The 16,070-nt window shown below is 40.0% G+C and overlaps 1 protein-coding gene across 25 annotated transcripts in view; it reads right to left on the bottom strand.

The window, feature by feature from the left end:
* The window catches only part of FTO (FTO alpha-ketoglutarate dependent dioxygenase), a 417,979-nt gene that overhangs the window by 302,461 nt on the left and 99,448 nt on the right, over positions 1-16,070 (bottom strand). For 23 of the 25 annotated variants that reach the window (XR_007064911.1, NR_156761.2, XM_047434606.1 and 20 more), the window contains exon 2: positions 9,264-9,341. The exons of 1 other annotated variant lie outside the window; for it this stretch is intronic. Coding sequence is in view for 21 of the 24 variants with exons in the window: in XM_047434606.1 (XP_047290562.1) it covers positions 9,264-9,341 (78 nt within the window). In the remaining 3 variants the exon portion in view is untranslated. Of the gene's footprint in view, positions 1-4,632; positions 4,812-9,263; positions 9,342-16,070 lie in introns of all 25 variants that reach the window. One more of the 25 variants, NM_001363905.2, reaches the window with a different exon arrangement.

The raw sequence follows: 16,070 nt of genomic DNA, 5'->3' as shown, positions 1-16,070 counted from the left end.
AAATTAACTGCCTGGGCGTGGTGGCTCACACCTGTAATCCCAGCACTTTGGGAGACTCAGGCGGGTGTATTGCTTGAGCTGACGAGCTCGAGACTAGCCTGGGCAACAAGGTGAAATCCCCTCTCTACTAACAATACAAAAAAATTAGCCAGGTGTGGTGGCATGCACCTGTGGTCCCAGCTACTTGGGCAGCTGAGGTGGAAGGATGGCTTGAGCCCAGGAAGTGGAAGCTGAAGTGAGCCTAAGCCTGGGCCACAGAGTGAGACCCCATTTCAAAGATAGATAAATAAATAAATATTAACTGTATCAAAGTTGGAAAATATATAATTTGTATTATACTTAAATTAGTTACTGTCTATCAAATTTGCATTAAAACATTTTATAATAGTAATACATATTGTTGATAATGGCAAAATTCAATATTCTGATAGCGTGCAATTAGGAATGCAAATTATTACAATGTTGCTTAAGGCCAATTGGACAAGATCTATCAGAACCTAAATATGCCCATATCTTTTCATGCAGTTATTCTACTTTTAGGAATTTGTCATAAGGAAGTTATTAAACACACCAAGATTATAAGAATATTCATCATACTGCTATTGATAATAATTAAAAACTGAAAACCACCAAAATGCCCAAGAAGGGTTTAGAAGGGAAAATGGTACAACCACGTGATGGAATATTAAAGTAACAAACTTAACTGTTTGGAAGTCAGTAGGAAACTATACTCATAGAAGAAATTAGTAACAAGATAGACAAGAGATCTCAGTTTCATTAAAAGAAAAACAGTACATATGTAAAAGCTCACAGAAAAAAAAAAAAAAATTGGATAAAAAGATAGCCAAAAGTTTATGGTGGTTATCCCTGAGTAATGTACTTGAGCATCATTTTGATTTTCTTCTTTAGACATCTATATTATTTTCAAATTTCCCAATATAAATGTAAAATATTTTTAATCAGAAAAATCAGAGTGAAGATGCTGCACTAAAAAAATTCTTAATTTTCATGACATTTCTTATATTTGCCAAGAGATTCTTTCTGATGGCTCTAAATGGTCAAAAATCTTCAAGAGAACTTCTGGTACTATTTAAATCTGTTGTTCAAGACTGAGGAATTTTCAGTCTACCACAGTGAAAACAAATAATAATAACTGGCTAATTTTGTCACTATCTCAAAGAAAATGTAAGAGAAAAAAATCTCAACCTAAATGCCCTCTTTTATTGTTTATAGAGTAATTAAATTAGTGCCTGACACATAAACGTACTATGAAGCATTTGTTCAATTTTTCTTTAAAAAAAAAAAAAAAGAACAAGTAACTTTGGAGAAGAAGTGAACATTAAGTAATTTAATATTAATTCATTCTGTCAAACAAATAAGTTCACTTTCCATTTTGGACAGGTACATGTAGAACATCAGATATCACACAATAATTTGGAACAGCTGTTGGCAGATTTTCAAATATGTTAGGCTTTTTTTCATTTAATCCCATTAGAGTTTTTTCCAATGAGTATGCAGTCATGAAATTTATATTAGCAGTTGTCTGGTCACATACTGTATTTCTTGAGATTCACAAATGATCCTGTGGCATAAATGATGATTATATAGTTTAATAAGTATTTGGAAAGGTATTTTAGATATAAAATGCCAGCATGCCAGGCCTTTGTCAATGGCTGAAAGATGTGGAAAGCTAAGCTCTCTGGAGATCAGGCTTCATTTTCTGTCTATTTTAAGCCATTATATAAAAATTCTACCTTTTCCTCCCATATCAAGAGATGCTTCTGAAAGATTTCATCACACAGGGAAGTCAGATATGGTTTTTAAACAAGTAAGATACCAGTTTACCAGAGGCTCACTTAAATGAAGCCCAGTGGAACTCAACCTTGGGTAGAGAGAAAAAAAAAATTTAAATATTCAAGTAACTTGGGAAATACCCTTCACTTAGAAGTACTAGAATATTCTGATTTTAGAGGACTGTATTTCTAATCTAGCTGTTAATAGATTTTGCTCCTAACACTTTCTATTTTGCACTCAGCAATTTGCACCCTATCACTCATTTTCTATATAATTTTTGTTGTAAAATGCTTGCGACTTGGCAGCCATCCGATGACTAACGGGCTAAACACTCGTCTGACCCAGACTCTGCCTGCATGATGCAAACTAGAGCTCCAGAAGGGATACACTTCTGGAGTCACTGTTCAGACTCTGCCACAGCTATCACAAGACTTGAGGTAACATGTGCTTTGCTACAAAATGACACAGAGATCCTCGTTCATTCATTCATTCATTCATTCAATACTTCATTTCATTTTGTTTATTTAACATTTCTCAAATACTTCCTATGTACCAGGCACTGTATAAAGTGCCAGACATACAAGGATTAAAAGAAGATAGGTCCTATTTGACAGCATCTCATAATTTAACAGTATAAACCAAAATGGAAACCAAAAGAGAAGAATGTCCTACAATAGAAGTGTGAGTATACTGCTGTGGGAGCAGGGAATAATTGGGAAGGAAAAGCTGGAAAACCCTTAGGTACTGAATACATATGTATTGAGCACATACTATTTGCAAAGCACTTGGGTGCTGAGAATATGGAAGAGAGCGAAACGTCTATTTTCTCTCTAGAAGCTCATGTCCTAGCAAGGTGAGCCAGACAATAAGCATATAAATAAGTAAAATATACGGTATTTTAGATGATGATAAGTCTACGGGGAAAAATAAAGCCGAGAAAGTAGGATAGGGAGTGCTGGGGTAAGTATGCCTACTTTCCACAGGGTGGTAAGGGAAGGCCTCTAGATACAGTGACATCAGAGCAGAAGAAAGCAAGAAACAAGGATACAATATCTGCAGATGCCTGGGGGGATGAGAGAGTTCCAGGTTGAGGGAACATTCAGTGCAAAGGCCTTGGGGCAGGAGTGAGCTTGGTTTATTCCAGGAAGAGTAAAGTGCCAGAATAGGAAGAAAAGTGTGAGGGGGGGTGGGGAGTGGGCAGGGGCAGGAAATGAGGTGAGGGAAGCAGTTAGGAACCCAAGCATGTAGAGCTTTGTGGGTGCATGTCAGGTCCTAGGCTGATGGGAAGCTATTCAAGGGCTTTGAGCAAGAAAGTGTAATGAGCTGATTTATGTTTTCAAAGATCATTCCGGATGCTGTGTTAAACTAGACCAGGGGAAGGAGGCAGAACCAGTCAGGAGGCTGTTGCAACAGAGATGATGGCAGTTTTGGCCACGGTGTAAGAAGCAGAGGTGGTGAGAAGCAGTCAGATTTTTCATACATTTTAGAACAGAAGGGATTTTCTGAAGCCTTCACAGAACATGTAGTGTTTAAGTAAAGTCTTTAAGAGTAGATGCTCACCAGACAGAAAAGGGAAGAGAGTACTAGTGGGCACAAAGGCAAGGAAGGATAAGAGGGCACAGCAGAGTCAGGGTGGAACCAAGAACTCCCTATGACGAGAGTTTATGATTGGGCGCCATTTTAGGCCATGGGATGAGATTACACCAGAGAGGTAGTTTAGGGTCAGAAAGTCAATGGCAGCTGGGTGCAGTGGCTCACACCTGTAATCCCAGCACTTTGGGAGGCCGAGGCAGGCGGATCACTTGAGGTCAGGAGTTTGAGACCAGCCTGGCCAACAAGGCGAAACCCTGTTTCTACTAAAAATACAAAAATTGGCCAGGCATGGTGACGCGCGCCTGTAGTCCCAGCTATTCGGGAGGCTGAGGCAGGAGAATCGCTTGAACCTGGGAAGCGGAGGTTACAGTGAGCCAAGACCGCACCACTACATTCCAGTCTGGGTGACAGAGCGGGACTCTGTCTCAAAAAAAAAAAAAAAAAAAAAAAAAAAAAACAAGAAAGTCAATGGCCTTATAGGGTGGATATGCTGAGGAATTTGAACTTGATCTTGGAAGCAAAGGCGACTCAACAAAATTTATAAAACAAGGAGGTACAAGTCAGTTCTGATGGCACTGGGGAGGGCATGAGGAACGCTAATCAGGAGGATGCTAAAACTGCGGAGGCAGAAAGTGATCAATGTGGCCTACATAGTTGAGGCAGTGTCTGTGGGATGGAAAAAGAAAAAACAATTTGAGAGATTCTAAAGAGGTAAAACCACCAGGGACCCAGTGACTAAATGAGGGAAGAAAGCAATGGATAGAAGTTGAGGGTGGTGAGCTTTCTAATCTCAAGAATGGGACTAGGGGATACCGTTAGAGAAGAGGCTGAATGGGAAGAGCCTTGTAGAAAGAATCCTTATTAAAATGTAAGTGACATCCTGTCACGCTTTGCTCCAAGCCTTCTCATGCCTCCTCATCTCAGAGTAACCGCCAATGCTCTTCTTACAGAACTTACAGACTATAAGTTCTCGTATAACCGGGCCTCTCTCTCTCTCTCTCTCTCTCTCTGACCGTCTCCCCTGCTCTCACCAGCTGTCTCCCTCTGCTCCAGGTATGTTGGCCTCGGGTGCTTTTCCTGTCAAGTATACCTGAGGCTTTGCTGTTCTGTAGGCCCAGAACATTCTTCCAACAAGTATCTACATGGCTTGCTCCTACATCACCTGCCCCACAAGAAATAAGCTCAAAGAAGACACGAATCTCTTGTCAGTTTTCACAACTTCATTTCTAATGCCTAAAACAGTACCTGGCACAGAGTCGGGGAGTGAAATCCATTTGTTTAATGGAGTAAGTAACTTAATGAATATGAATCATGTTGAGTTAGATGTAGCTGGAAGACTTTCAGGTAGAGCCACTCCGTAGGCAGTTGGAAGTGGAGAGCTGGAGGTCACAGGGAGAGCTGGGATGGGGACAGAGGTCTGGAACCTTTGAGACAAGAGCAGAGTTATCTCAGAAGGATGAAGAGACACAAGGGAAGAGAGAAGCAGTATAGGACTTAAGAGTGGAGACCCAAAAGCCAACAGCCCAGACTTAAATCCTAGTCCCAACATATCCTGCACATAAGTCTTAAACAAATTTTTGAACCTCTCTGTCCCTCGGTTTCCTCATCTCTAAAATAGGGTTTTAGTAACACCTGTCTCAGAAGCATATAGCAAGATTTCAGTGAGCTCACACGTGTAATGCACTTAAAGTAGCAGCAGAACAACCTGGCACACAGCTAGCACACAATCAGTGACAGCAAGGGGGTTACTGAGGATGGTCTCATTTTCTTTGGATAAAAGGGGCTGCATTCATATTTCTGGAAGTCAGAGTTTGTTTTCTGACTATGTAATTCCTCGTTTCCTTGTGTTCCATGATGAGCTAACAGAAGTTCTCTCTGCTTTTCTGCTTTGACCCTTGGTGGTTTGGTTTTGCTTTTCTCTACGGTCCTATTAAAAGAAACTGCAAAACTTCTCTGAAGGTGTTTTGAATTGGAGCATGGTAGACCAAGAGGTGGACAATACAGCAGAAAGAGCATGGGCCTTCAGAGTCAGACAAATATGGGCTGAACTCCAGCTCTCCCACTCAGATAACTAACTTAGTCTCTCCTGATTTCCTCCTTTTTTAATCTTGTTATGAGAGGCAGGCTGAACTCCAATTCCTGGGCTCAAATGATCCTCCCACCTCAGCCTCCCAAGTAGGTGGAACTTACAGTTGTGCCTGGTTCCTCTCTTGATTTCTAAAACAGAAATACCTACCTCAAGTACCTCAAGCCTGAAGAAAAGTAGTTGCTGAATACAATGAATGAGGCTGTTGTGGGGATTGCATGTGAGAGCATGCATAAAACATGTAGCACAAAGCCTAGCACACTGTAAGGATCAATCGACAGACCCAAAATGGAAGCTGAACAGACTCCTGTGTTTATGACTGGCAGCTGGATTGGCATTCCTGTGGTGAGGGCCTGTTTAAGGGACCCAGTGTCAGGTCTGAACTTTCTATTTACTCATGTCATTAAAAAGTATTTTCACTTCATCTTTTAAGAGAAGAGGTTTACTTTTACTAAGGTTTTATTGAAGTACTAAGCCTTCCTAGAAGGTGTACTTTGGCCAGGCGCAGTGGCTCACACCTCTAATCCCAGCACTTTGGGAGGCCGAGGCAGGTGGATAATGTGAGGTCAGGAGTTTGAGACCAGCCTGGCCAACATGGTGAAACCCCATCTCTACTAAACTTACAAAAATTAGGCAGGCATGGTGGCAGGTGCCTGTAATCCCAGCTACTCAGGAGGCTGAGGCAGGAGAATCGCTTGAATCTGGGAGGCAGAGGTTGCAGTGAGCTGATATTGCACCACTGCACTCCAGCCTGGGCAACAGAGTGAGATGCTGTCTCAAAAAAAAAAAAAGAAAAGAAAAACAGCAAGGTGCACTTAGAGTGATTAGATATTAGTATCAGGGTTTGTTGCGGGCCTTGGAAAGATAACAGAGAAGTCTTGATAGTTGTTCTGTTTGCATTTGGGTTTCCTTTTATCCCTCAGTGGATGGCTGGTTCAGAGCACAGTGGGCTGATAACCTTTTGTATCTCATTCTTCCTGTACCATTTTCACACGACAAAAGCTGAAATGGCTTGGCAGTTGCTTTGTGACAATGCATGTAATCATGCACCAGAAGGCTTATAGCTATGAAAATTTAGTAAGCATTTCAGAACTAATTGCATTTTTGTGGGTTTACCTGTCTTAAGGGTACTTTTAAAAATTATTTTTTCCCTGATTGCAAAAGAATATACCTTCACTGCAGATAATCTGGAAAACTGGGAAAGTTCAAAAGAGAACACCCACCCTATCACTATGCAGTATGACATTTCTGTACACATCTGTCAAATCTTTCCAGATGCCAAATCCCTGGGGAAGTGTGTACGTGTGTAGAAGCAAAATTCAAATCATACTAAACTCATTATTATTATATATAACTGGTTTTCCAAATTAACTATTGGGTGCATGCATTGAAGCAAACTCATTCAGCACCTGATAGGTACCCGGCACTGAACGAAGTACAGAGGATAAGGGAAGCCAGCACACACAAAAATTCATTACAATTAAGTGAGATTAATGCCAGATGTGATGGCTCATGCCTGTAATCCTAGCACTTTGGGACGCCAAATCACTTGAGGTCAGGAGTTCGAGACCAGCCTGGCCAACATGGTGAAACCATGTCTCTACTAAAAATATAAAAATTAGCCAGATGCACTTGCTTGAACCCAGGAGGCAGAGGGTGCAGTGAGCTCAGATCGCGCCACTGCACTCCAGCCTGCACACAACACAGCTAGACTCTATCTCAAAAAAAAAAAAAAATTAAGTGAGATTAAGTGCTGATAAAGGTATAGATAAAGTATGAGAGGAAGCAGAGACAACTCTCTGGTTGTAGAGGTGTCAGGGAAGCTTCCTACAGGAGATGACATATGAGCTGTTACTAACAGGTAACACAGAAGTTCACCAAGGAAACAAGAGACAGGCTGGGCATGGTGGGTCATGCCTGTAACCCCAGCACTTTGTGAGCCCAAGGTGTGTGGATCGCTTGAGCTCAGGAGTTCAAGACCAGTCTGGGCAGCATGGTGAAACCCTGTCTCTACAAAAATACAAAAAATTAGCCAGGCGTGGTGGCACATGCCAGTGGTCTCAGCTACTTGGGAGGCTGAGGTGGGAGAATCGCATGGGCCCAGGGGGCAGAGGTTGCAGTGAATCCAGATTACACCACTGCATTCCAGTCTGGGTGACAGAGTGAGATCCTCTGTCAAAAAATAAAAAAAAAGAAGAGACAGATAAAGAGAAGGAGGTACGTCAGCAGAGGACGTAGCAAGAAGGCCCCAAAGATGAAACTCATAGCAAATTTAAAGTACTGCAAAAATCCAGTGTGGATAAAAGGTGTAAGAGCAGGGGAGATGAGGCTGAAAATGTAGGAGCCAGTCAATGATGTGGGATTTGAAGCAGAGGGTTGCCATGCTCAGATTTACATCTTGGTTAGAAAATACTATAGCTTCAAGGATGAAGGGGGGCAAAGAGGAAAACTAGACAGACCTATAAGAGGACTGACAGTGAAGAGGAAAGATGGTGCAGATCAAATGGGAATGGAGATAAGAGACAGTGGCCTAGAAATAATATTGAGCTAGAAGTCACAGAAATCATATTGACCTGGATTCTAGATGGGTAAAGTCCTTCCTTCCTCTCTTCCTTCCTTGGTTACTGATGGTCAGCTATGTACATGCAGGTGCTAGAGATACAAAGATGCTGTGACCTAATTCCTATTCTGATTTTCACGGCAACCCTCTGCTTCAAGACTTCACATTGTAGTAGGAAAAAAGAGGTGAAAATTTATTATTTTTACATGCCCAGAGGGCCTACTCTTCCTTCTTTGGAAACAGGACTCTGATTTTCCTTTGGGAGAGCCACCCATGTCTAACTCACATAGTGCATACAGTTTGGTGGGAGTACTCTCACTCCAACCCCACTCCAAGAGTAGGTGCATGAACTAGGCTGGGCAAACAGGAGCATTTGACTCTCCTGAACATGATGACTAGTTCAGTAATAAGCACATGACTCCAACCAGGCCAACAGGATTACTTCCTGGATAATTTGATGGAACCAGGGAAAAAGAACTCACTAACTTTTTCTAAGATCCCAGATGCCAAAGGCCACATACCCCTTGGGCTGTCAGAGTCCTGCTATGCTCTCAGATGAGAGCCTATTGAGCATGAGATCACACTGAGGAAAGCTAAGCCAAGAAAAATAGGAAAAAACAGTGATCGGGTGACATCTTTTGTAAAGTTGGATTTAGCCATGTACTCCTAGACTTCTAAGGCAAGTCAATAAATTCCCCTTATTTTTTGCCACTGTGAGTTTGATTTGGGTTTTTGTCATTTGTAATTGAAACAGTGGTGTCTAATTCAGAGACAGAGACACGGAATTCTGTAATTGCAATACCATGTGCTAGGTGGTATAGAGTTATTTACCGGGAGTGCAATCAACTTGACTTGTAGGTAGGGTAAGCTGGGAAAATGTTCACAAAGGAGGTGATGTTTAACTGAACTCTTGAAGAATTAGCCATCTGCAACAGGATAAGGAGCAAAAGGAAGGAGGAGGAGCTAGGCAGAAGAAACAGCATGAGCAGAGGCAAGGAAGTGTGGAATGTCCGAGGAAATAAAAACAGTCACTATGCTAAAGCATTAAATTCACAGCAAAAAGCCGATTCTGAAGAAATGTACATGCTCTGTAGGCCATGAGAAGTCATGGGTGATCTAATTTGACCTTTTCACCTGTCATTTAACCTCTCTAGCCCAGCTTCCTCATAGGTAAAATAAGGTTGATCAGAACACATCACTGAAACTGATAAAAATATTAAAATACCTTACCTGCTGATAGAATTCATCATCTTTGGGGGTCAGATAAGGGAGCCAAGTGTCTTCAAGCTCTTCAAGAAGCCTCAGTTTCTGTTTGAAAATAATAATTACATATAAGTGAATATGCAATAACCCAAAGTAAGACACTCTCTTATTTTTCCAATAAGAGAATACAAACAAATTTTAGCCAACTTTGAATTTATAATCTTTTAGAGATAGAAATTAGTCAAATCTCAATTATAAAATATATTAATTAAATTACATACATCTTTTTTTTTCTTTTCTTTTAGAGACAGAGTCTCGCTCTGTCACCTTGGCTGGAATACAGTGGTGTGATCACAACTCACTATAACATCAAACTCCTGGGCTCAAGTGATCCTCCCATCTCATCCTCCCAAGTAGCTGGGACTACAGCGGTGCCACCATGCTTGGATAATTGTCTTTATTTTTAGTAGGGACAAGGTCTCGCTATGTTGCCCAGGCTGGTCTCAAACTTCTGGCCTCAAGCAATCCTCCCACCTTGGCCTCCTACAGTGCTGGGATTACAGGCATGAGTCATGGCACCCAGTCAATTACATATATACTAAATTACACACGGTATGAAGCATAAATTTAGAAATAATTTTATTCACTCTCACATTTCATGAGACAATTTGATTCACTCTTCACATGTATTGTTGACAACCGGGTCTTTTTCATCACTAGAGTCAGCTTACAACTCATCCAACACAGTTTTCCAGAGCAAACGCCTGTCTGTATAATCTGCTTGAGACATAGTAGCTTGTAAATCCTTTTATGGTACTATCACTGGAAATACCAAACCAAGCCACAAGTATCCATTTGCATAATGTCAGCATATGTGGAAGAGTTATTCATCTTGTAAACATTTATTTGAGATCATATCCACTTACGGTATTGCTTTTTTAGAGTGATCTATCATCTCTACAATAATTAATAAATCTGTGTTAAACATCTTTGTTTCTTCTCTTTTCCAATTCCATGAAGCAGCCTTTTTAAGCACTCAAAGCCAGCATTGTCTGAGGCTGTTTCAAGAGACTATGTTTTCCCCAAACAGTACTGTGCTATTCAAACAAAGTAACTGAAAGACGATCTCATATTATAAAGTATCTTATAAGAAATCAGATACATATAGGGCACCTCCGTCCTTCTGAGGGATATTTTTCAAAGAATATCTGACCTTACATTCAAGAATATATGGAGTTTTCGTGTGTACGTGGCATATAAAAGGCATAAATGTGCATATACACTCACAGACACATATACACATAGACAGGTACATACAACAGACATTATCTGTAAGAAAGAAAGCAAAAACAGCAGAAACAACTGGGTTTCAAATAAAAATGCAATTAAATGCATCACCAAAGCTACTGTCAGCCAGTAAGTCACATTTATAAAAATTAGATAACGGTACACTTTGCTCTGGGCCGATATAGTCCCACTCAATAAGAATATAGCTTGGTAAACACAAACTGGATTTCAGGCTCCACCTGCTCCAATGCCCAATGTCTTTATAAAGTGCACAACCTACTTAACCAGATGTGGCAGCCCTGCATACTACCCTCTCCCACCCCAAATAGCAGCCTTCTCTCACAAACCCATCACAATCAGAGTAGTCAGAGGAAACTTCCTTTTGGGTAAAACACAAATTCTTTCTGGACCTTTTTTGTATCATTACCTAAAAGTGAGGAAAGAGAAAGGGAATAGAAGTATAGCAACCAATTGACCCTGAGAGACACAAAACCAAATTCTACTCTTAGGCATAATTCTATTATATTTATTTAGTCAAAGCCTTTGTTTTGACTATAGGTGTTTTCTCATTTACAACGAAAAGGTTGACTTACCAGTTAAACAAAGAAATTTTTTTTTTTTTTGGAGACAGGGTTTCATTCTGTCCCACAGGCTGAAGTGTAGTGGCCCAATCACAGCTCACTGCAGCCTTGACTTCCTGGGCTCAGATGATTCTCCCAACTCAGCCTCGCAAGTAGCTGGGACTAAAGGTGCAATGCCACCATGCCTGGCTAGTTTTGTTTTACTTTTTTTGTAGAGATGAGGCCTCAGTATGTTCCCCAGGCTGGTCTCAAACCCCTGGGCTCAAATGATCTGCCCGCCTTGGCCTCAAATGATCTGCCCGCCTTGGCCTCCCAAAGTGCTGGGATTACAGAAGTGAGCTACCATACCTGGCCTAAATTATGATACTTTTATAGTTATAATACTAATGTAACACACACCATTACAGATAATCGACAAACCAGTTTGGATAATTCACTATTGGTTAATTGATTTATCTATTTTTCAGTATTAACTATTATTTGGGCCATAGAAAGAACCAATGATATTTCCATGCCATACTTGTACATTTCTCCACTCCATCATAAATTTAATCAAAATCTATACCTCAATTTTTACTTCAAGCTCAGAAAAGCCTCCATTTTCCTATGAATATTTTATCAATTCTTAGTCTTTTTTATAGACACAAAGTGCCAGAATATTTATAAATGCCAAAAAAGGTAAGCCTTGAATAATTCAAACACACATTTCTCAAACCTTGAAATGTCTCCACCTTGCAAACACCACCTTAAGATCTCTTCATGAGAGTCCATCAGTAAAGCTAATCTACATATAAAGAGGAGCACAAAAGCATGGATTCCCAAAAGTAATTACATACTCCACCTAAATCAGATGAAACAGCAACAGACCTGTCCCATAGGTCGACAAGTGCCAATGTAGGCTGAACCTCTGCTTATAATTAATGCTTCAGCTAAATTCTTGTAACAACCACCACTTCTCAGTTCATTTCGGAACTGAGCATCAGACAGGTATAAAACATTGTAACTTATAAGGCTGTATCAAAAGGATAAAATTTGACAAGATTTTTCCTACTCTAGAGCAAGCAGCATATAATTGATCTTCCACTAGGAATTTTCATTTTAATCCTGTGAGTACTGTTGTATCTACATGACAGCAGAGAATGGGGACCAGAAAATCATCCAGCTTAAGACCCTACAGATAAAAATCTGCTCTGAACACCAACACTCAGTACTTGCAATTTTACGAAGTAACTGACAAGATCAAGTATTAAATAACAATATTTACAAACATAAAGAGAAGTTTTGGTCATGCTTACATCGGTGAAATCAATCAGATATCAATAGTAAATTGGTAGCTCATAAACATCAAAATTAAAAATTCTTAACTGCTTTATAAAAAAACAAATATTAAGATTGCTTTATGAAAAGCGAGGTCACTATGGGCAAGACTAAGAGAAACAGGCCCTTTCATTCTCTGCTGTCAGGAGGGCAAAACAAAACCATACTTAGAGAGGGTAACCAGTCAACTCCTTTCAAAATTCAAATGCATTTCCCATGTGAGCCAGTGATCCTACTTCTGATTTATCCTTCTAATACACTTGTACCATGTTCAGAAGAATATATGCATGAGGATACTCATTACATCATTACTTGTAGAAAAAAAGCTTGGAATCACACTAAAAACCACTGAACTGTACACTTTAAAATGGTGAATTTTATGATATGGAAATTATTATCTCAATAAAACAATAAGATTAGAAACAATGCAAATCTCCAGCCACAGGGGACAGTGGAATAAACTACAGGACATCCACATGATGAAGTATAAAGCAACAGTAAACAAAAACAAGGACGCTCTCTGTTTATGAACTAAAAAGCTCTCCAGAAGATATTGGGAAGTAAAAAGCAAGGCACAAAACTCTGCTTGTATTTGCATACAGAAACACAAAGGATAAATGACAGACTATTAAAGTGATTATCTGTCAATAGAGGTGGGAAATGACTAGAAAGGAGCAAGGCAGAGCCAAGACTACTCAAAATATTCCATTTTATATTGTTTTGATTTTTGCACTATGTAAACGTCTTACCTATTACCAATTCAAACATCTAACCTACTAATTCCTCACATGAAATTCAGTATAAAGATGAAGACAACATGATTTTTGGCATTGTTTTAGAAAGTGCCTTCTTTTGTCCATGTACAATGAAGTATTTATTTGGAAAACTATTGCAGACTAGCACACTAAAGAGGAGAGGAAAAAAACAGCTCTGACAATTTTCTTTGTGTCAAATGCCAACCACAGTAAAAACACACAACATTAAAATGCGCTCTGGAGCACAGGTAGAAGGAGCTCACGTTTGACTGTCAGATCTGGCTAACTGCTGCTCCTCAGCCTGATGTACAGATAAATCCACACAGCTGGGCCCTGCAGCACACTGCTCTGCTCACACACTTCTTTGCTGTCACACTTGTGTCAAATACATCAAGCTGCTCACAAATGCCACACGGAGAGCCAGAGAGAGCGTGAAGCCTCAGCTCTCCTACCTGGCAGGAGGGGCAGATGAAGACCCCTGCACACAGGCTACCACCCATTTCCACAGCTCTAGCAAAGTAAAAGAGGACAAAAGACCTATGTGAAACACACCACAGCCAGTTGCAGTGGCTCACACCTGTAATCCCAGCACTTTGGGAGGTGGAGGCAGGACGATCACCTGAGCTCAGGAGTTCGAGACCAGCTTGGGGAAAATGGTAAAAACCCGTCTCTACGAAAAAATACAAAAACTAGCCAGGCGTGGTGGTGTGCACTTGCAGTCCCAGCAACTCAGGAGGCTGAGGTAGGAGGATCCACTTGAGCCTGGGAGGCAGAGGTTGCAGTGAGCCGAGATCACGCCACTGCACTCCAGCCTGTGTGACAGAATAAGACTCTCTGTCTCAAAAAAAAAAAAAAAAAAAACCACAACTCAAACTCATAAGGGTTTAAAGTTAGATATCAGAAACTACACCAGCCCTAAGCCTCTGCTTTACTGTGAAAAAGTTAAGCTGTATCTGAGCTTGTATATCTTGTCACATAGAGATATGGTTTGAGAGTCTTACAGTAATTACATAAAAAGATTAAGTGGATTATGACTCATCATGTAAGGGTGTATCTCACCTACAAATGAAGTGTATTTTTCATCCCACTCCTGACTCTTCAGCCGTGTCAAGATTATGCTGCTAATGACACTTATTCTTTATCCATTTATCATTTTCCACATAATACTTCTTCAACTATGCATCCTATTGTGTCAGGTTCAGTAAAAATTTAATTTTGTTACCTGAGTCTTTTCAAAATACAGTGATGAATAATGGCTAATGAATGTTCATTGTGAAAATAACTGCATGATCTTATGAGGGTTTTAAGTGGGAAAATGACCTAGTCCTTAAGCAGGGTGCTTGGTGGGCAAGGAAGACATATCTAAACTAACACTAGAAAGATCATTAAGAGCCAGGCGCGGTGGCTCACACCTGTAAGCCCAGCACTATGGGAGGCCAAGGAAGACGGATCACTTGAGGCCAGGAGTTCAAGACCAGCCTGGCCATCAAAGGGAACCCCGTCTCTACCAAAAATACAAAAATTAGCCGGCCATGGTGGCGCACACCTGTAATTCCAGCTTCTAGGGTGGCTGAGGCAAGAGAATCGCTTGAACCTGGCAGATGGAGGTTGCAGTGAGTCACCGCTGCATGGTGACACAGCATGGTTCTTTCTCAAAAAAAAAAAAAAAAAAGATCAATAAGAAGTAGCTAAACCAAAAAAGTGTAAATATTTCACATATACCATATTTGCTTTAGATAAGAAGAAAAAAAGTATTTCAACCATTTCAACAAATTTAGCATTCCTTGTCCTACGAAAAACTTCCCTCTCCATGAAAATATGGCACAGTAAAAGTAAACTGGATTTGGAGGCGAAAGTAGAATTTTGAATGGAGACTCTTTCACTTCCTCGATGCGGTACCACATCGGAAGCAAACTCGCTCATTCTCAATTTCCTCATCTGTAAGGACACTGTTTCATAGAGTTGTGATGATAAAATAAAATTATTCATACATATTAGTGCCTTTTGCAAACTATAAACTATGCAGATATTAGGCAAATAGCATTCAAACAGTGAGGCAGGGGTCTGTATAACAAAGCAAACTCCTTTGTTATGTGTGTATAGCCTAAGGAGCCAAACTCTTGAATTCCAATGCCAGTTCTACCAGTCTAGGTGCATGATTTGCAACTAGTTTCTTATCTCCCTGTGAGATGTAAATGATATTAATACATAAAGCTCTAAGAACAGTGTCTGGCACATAAACAGCCCCTCAATACATTTTGGCAACCATTCGTTGTTGTTATTTACTCATGTCTGGAAAGGACAGTTTTATTTCCTAGTTATAAATTACTTATACAGGAATCTATGTGTACCACATCAAATTATACTTTAGGCCACAGATTAATGCCACTGGATTAATAAGAATCCAGATATTAATTAGCCTCAGTGATCTACAGGAGAAATGTATAAAAACTTCCCATAAAAGTTTACATATATAAAATGTGTCAATTAACTATGTTGTGGTGATCACCTACTTTTTAATATGACAAAATTGCATAATTTTAGAACATATAAAGAAACTAAGGCCCATCCAGAGCTATGAAGTGACTGGCAAGAGACTATACTGCTGCTTATGAAAGAATCACAACTCACATTCTTAGTTCCCAGGTACAAGGCCACACCCACTACACCACACCATCCCTGAGGCAAGAGAAATCATCTCTCTTAAGAATTGTTTAATTTTTAACTGAAAAACAACATACACAACATTTTTTTAAAAGTTTTTAATTAAAATCAATCCTACTTATAAATTTTTAAAACCAATACTTACAGCCACTGCTCTTGGACCCTCAAGTCCTGGCTGCTTTGGTAGCTCCACAAGGCTTTCAAAAGAGATCTTTTTAATTAATACTTAG

Source organism: Homo sapiens, chromosome 16, assembly GCF_000001405.40.
Source record: "Homo sapiens chromosome 16, GRCh38.p14 Primary Assembly".
Classification (NCBI taxonomy): Eukaryota; Metazoa; Chordata; class Mammalia; order Primates; family Hominidae; genus Homo; species Homo sapiens.
Note: the sequence above shows the minus strand (reverse complement) of the source record. Positions and strands in the feature narration are given on the sequence as shown.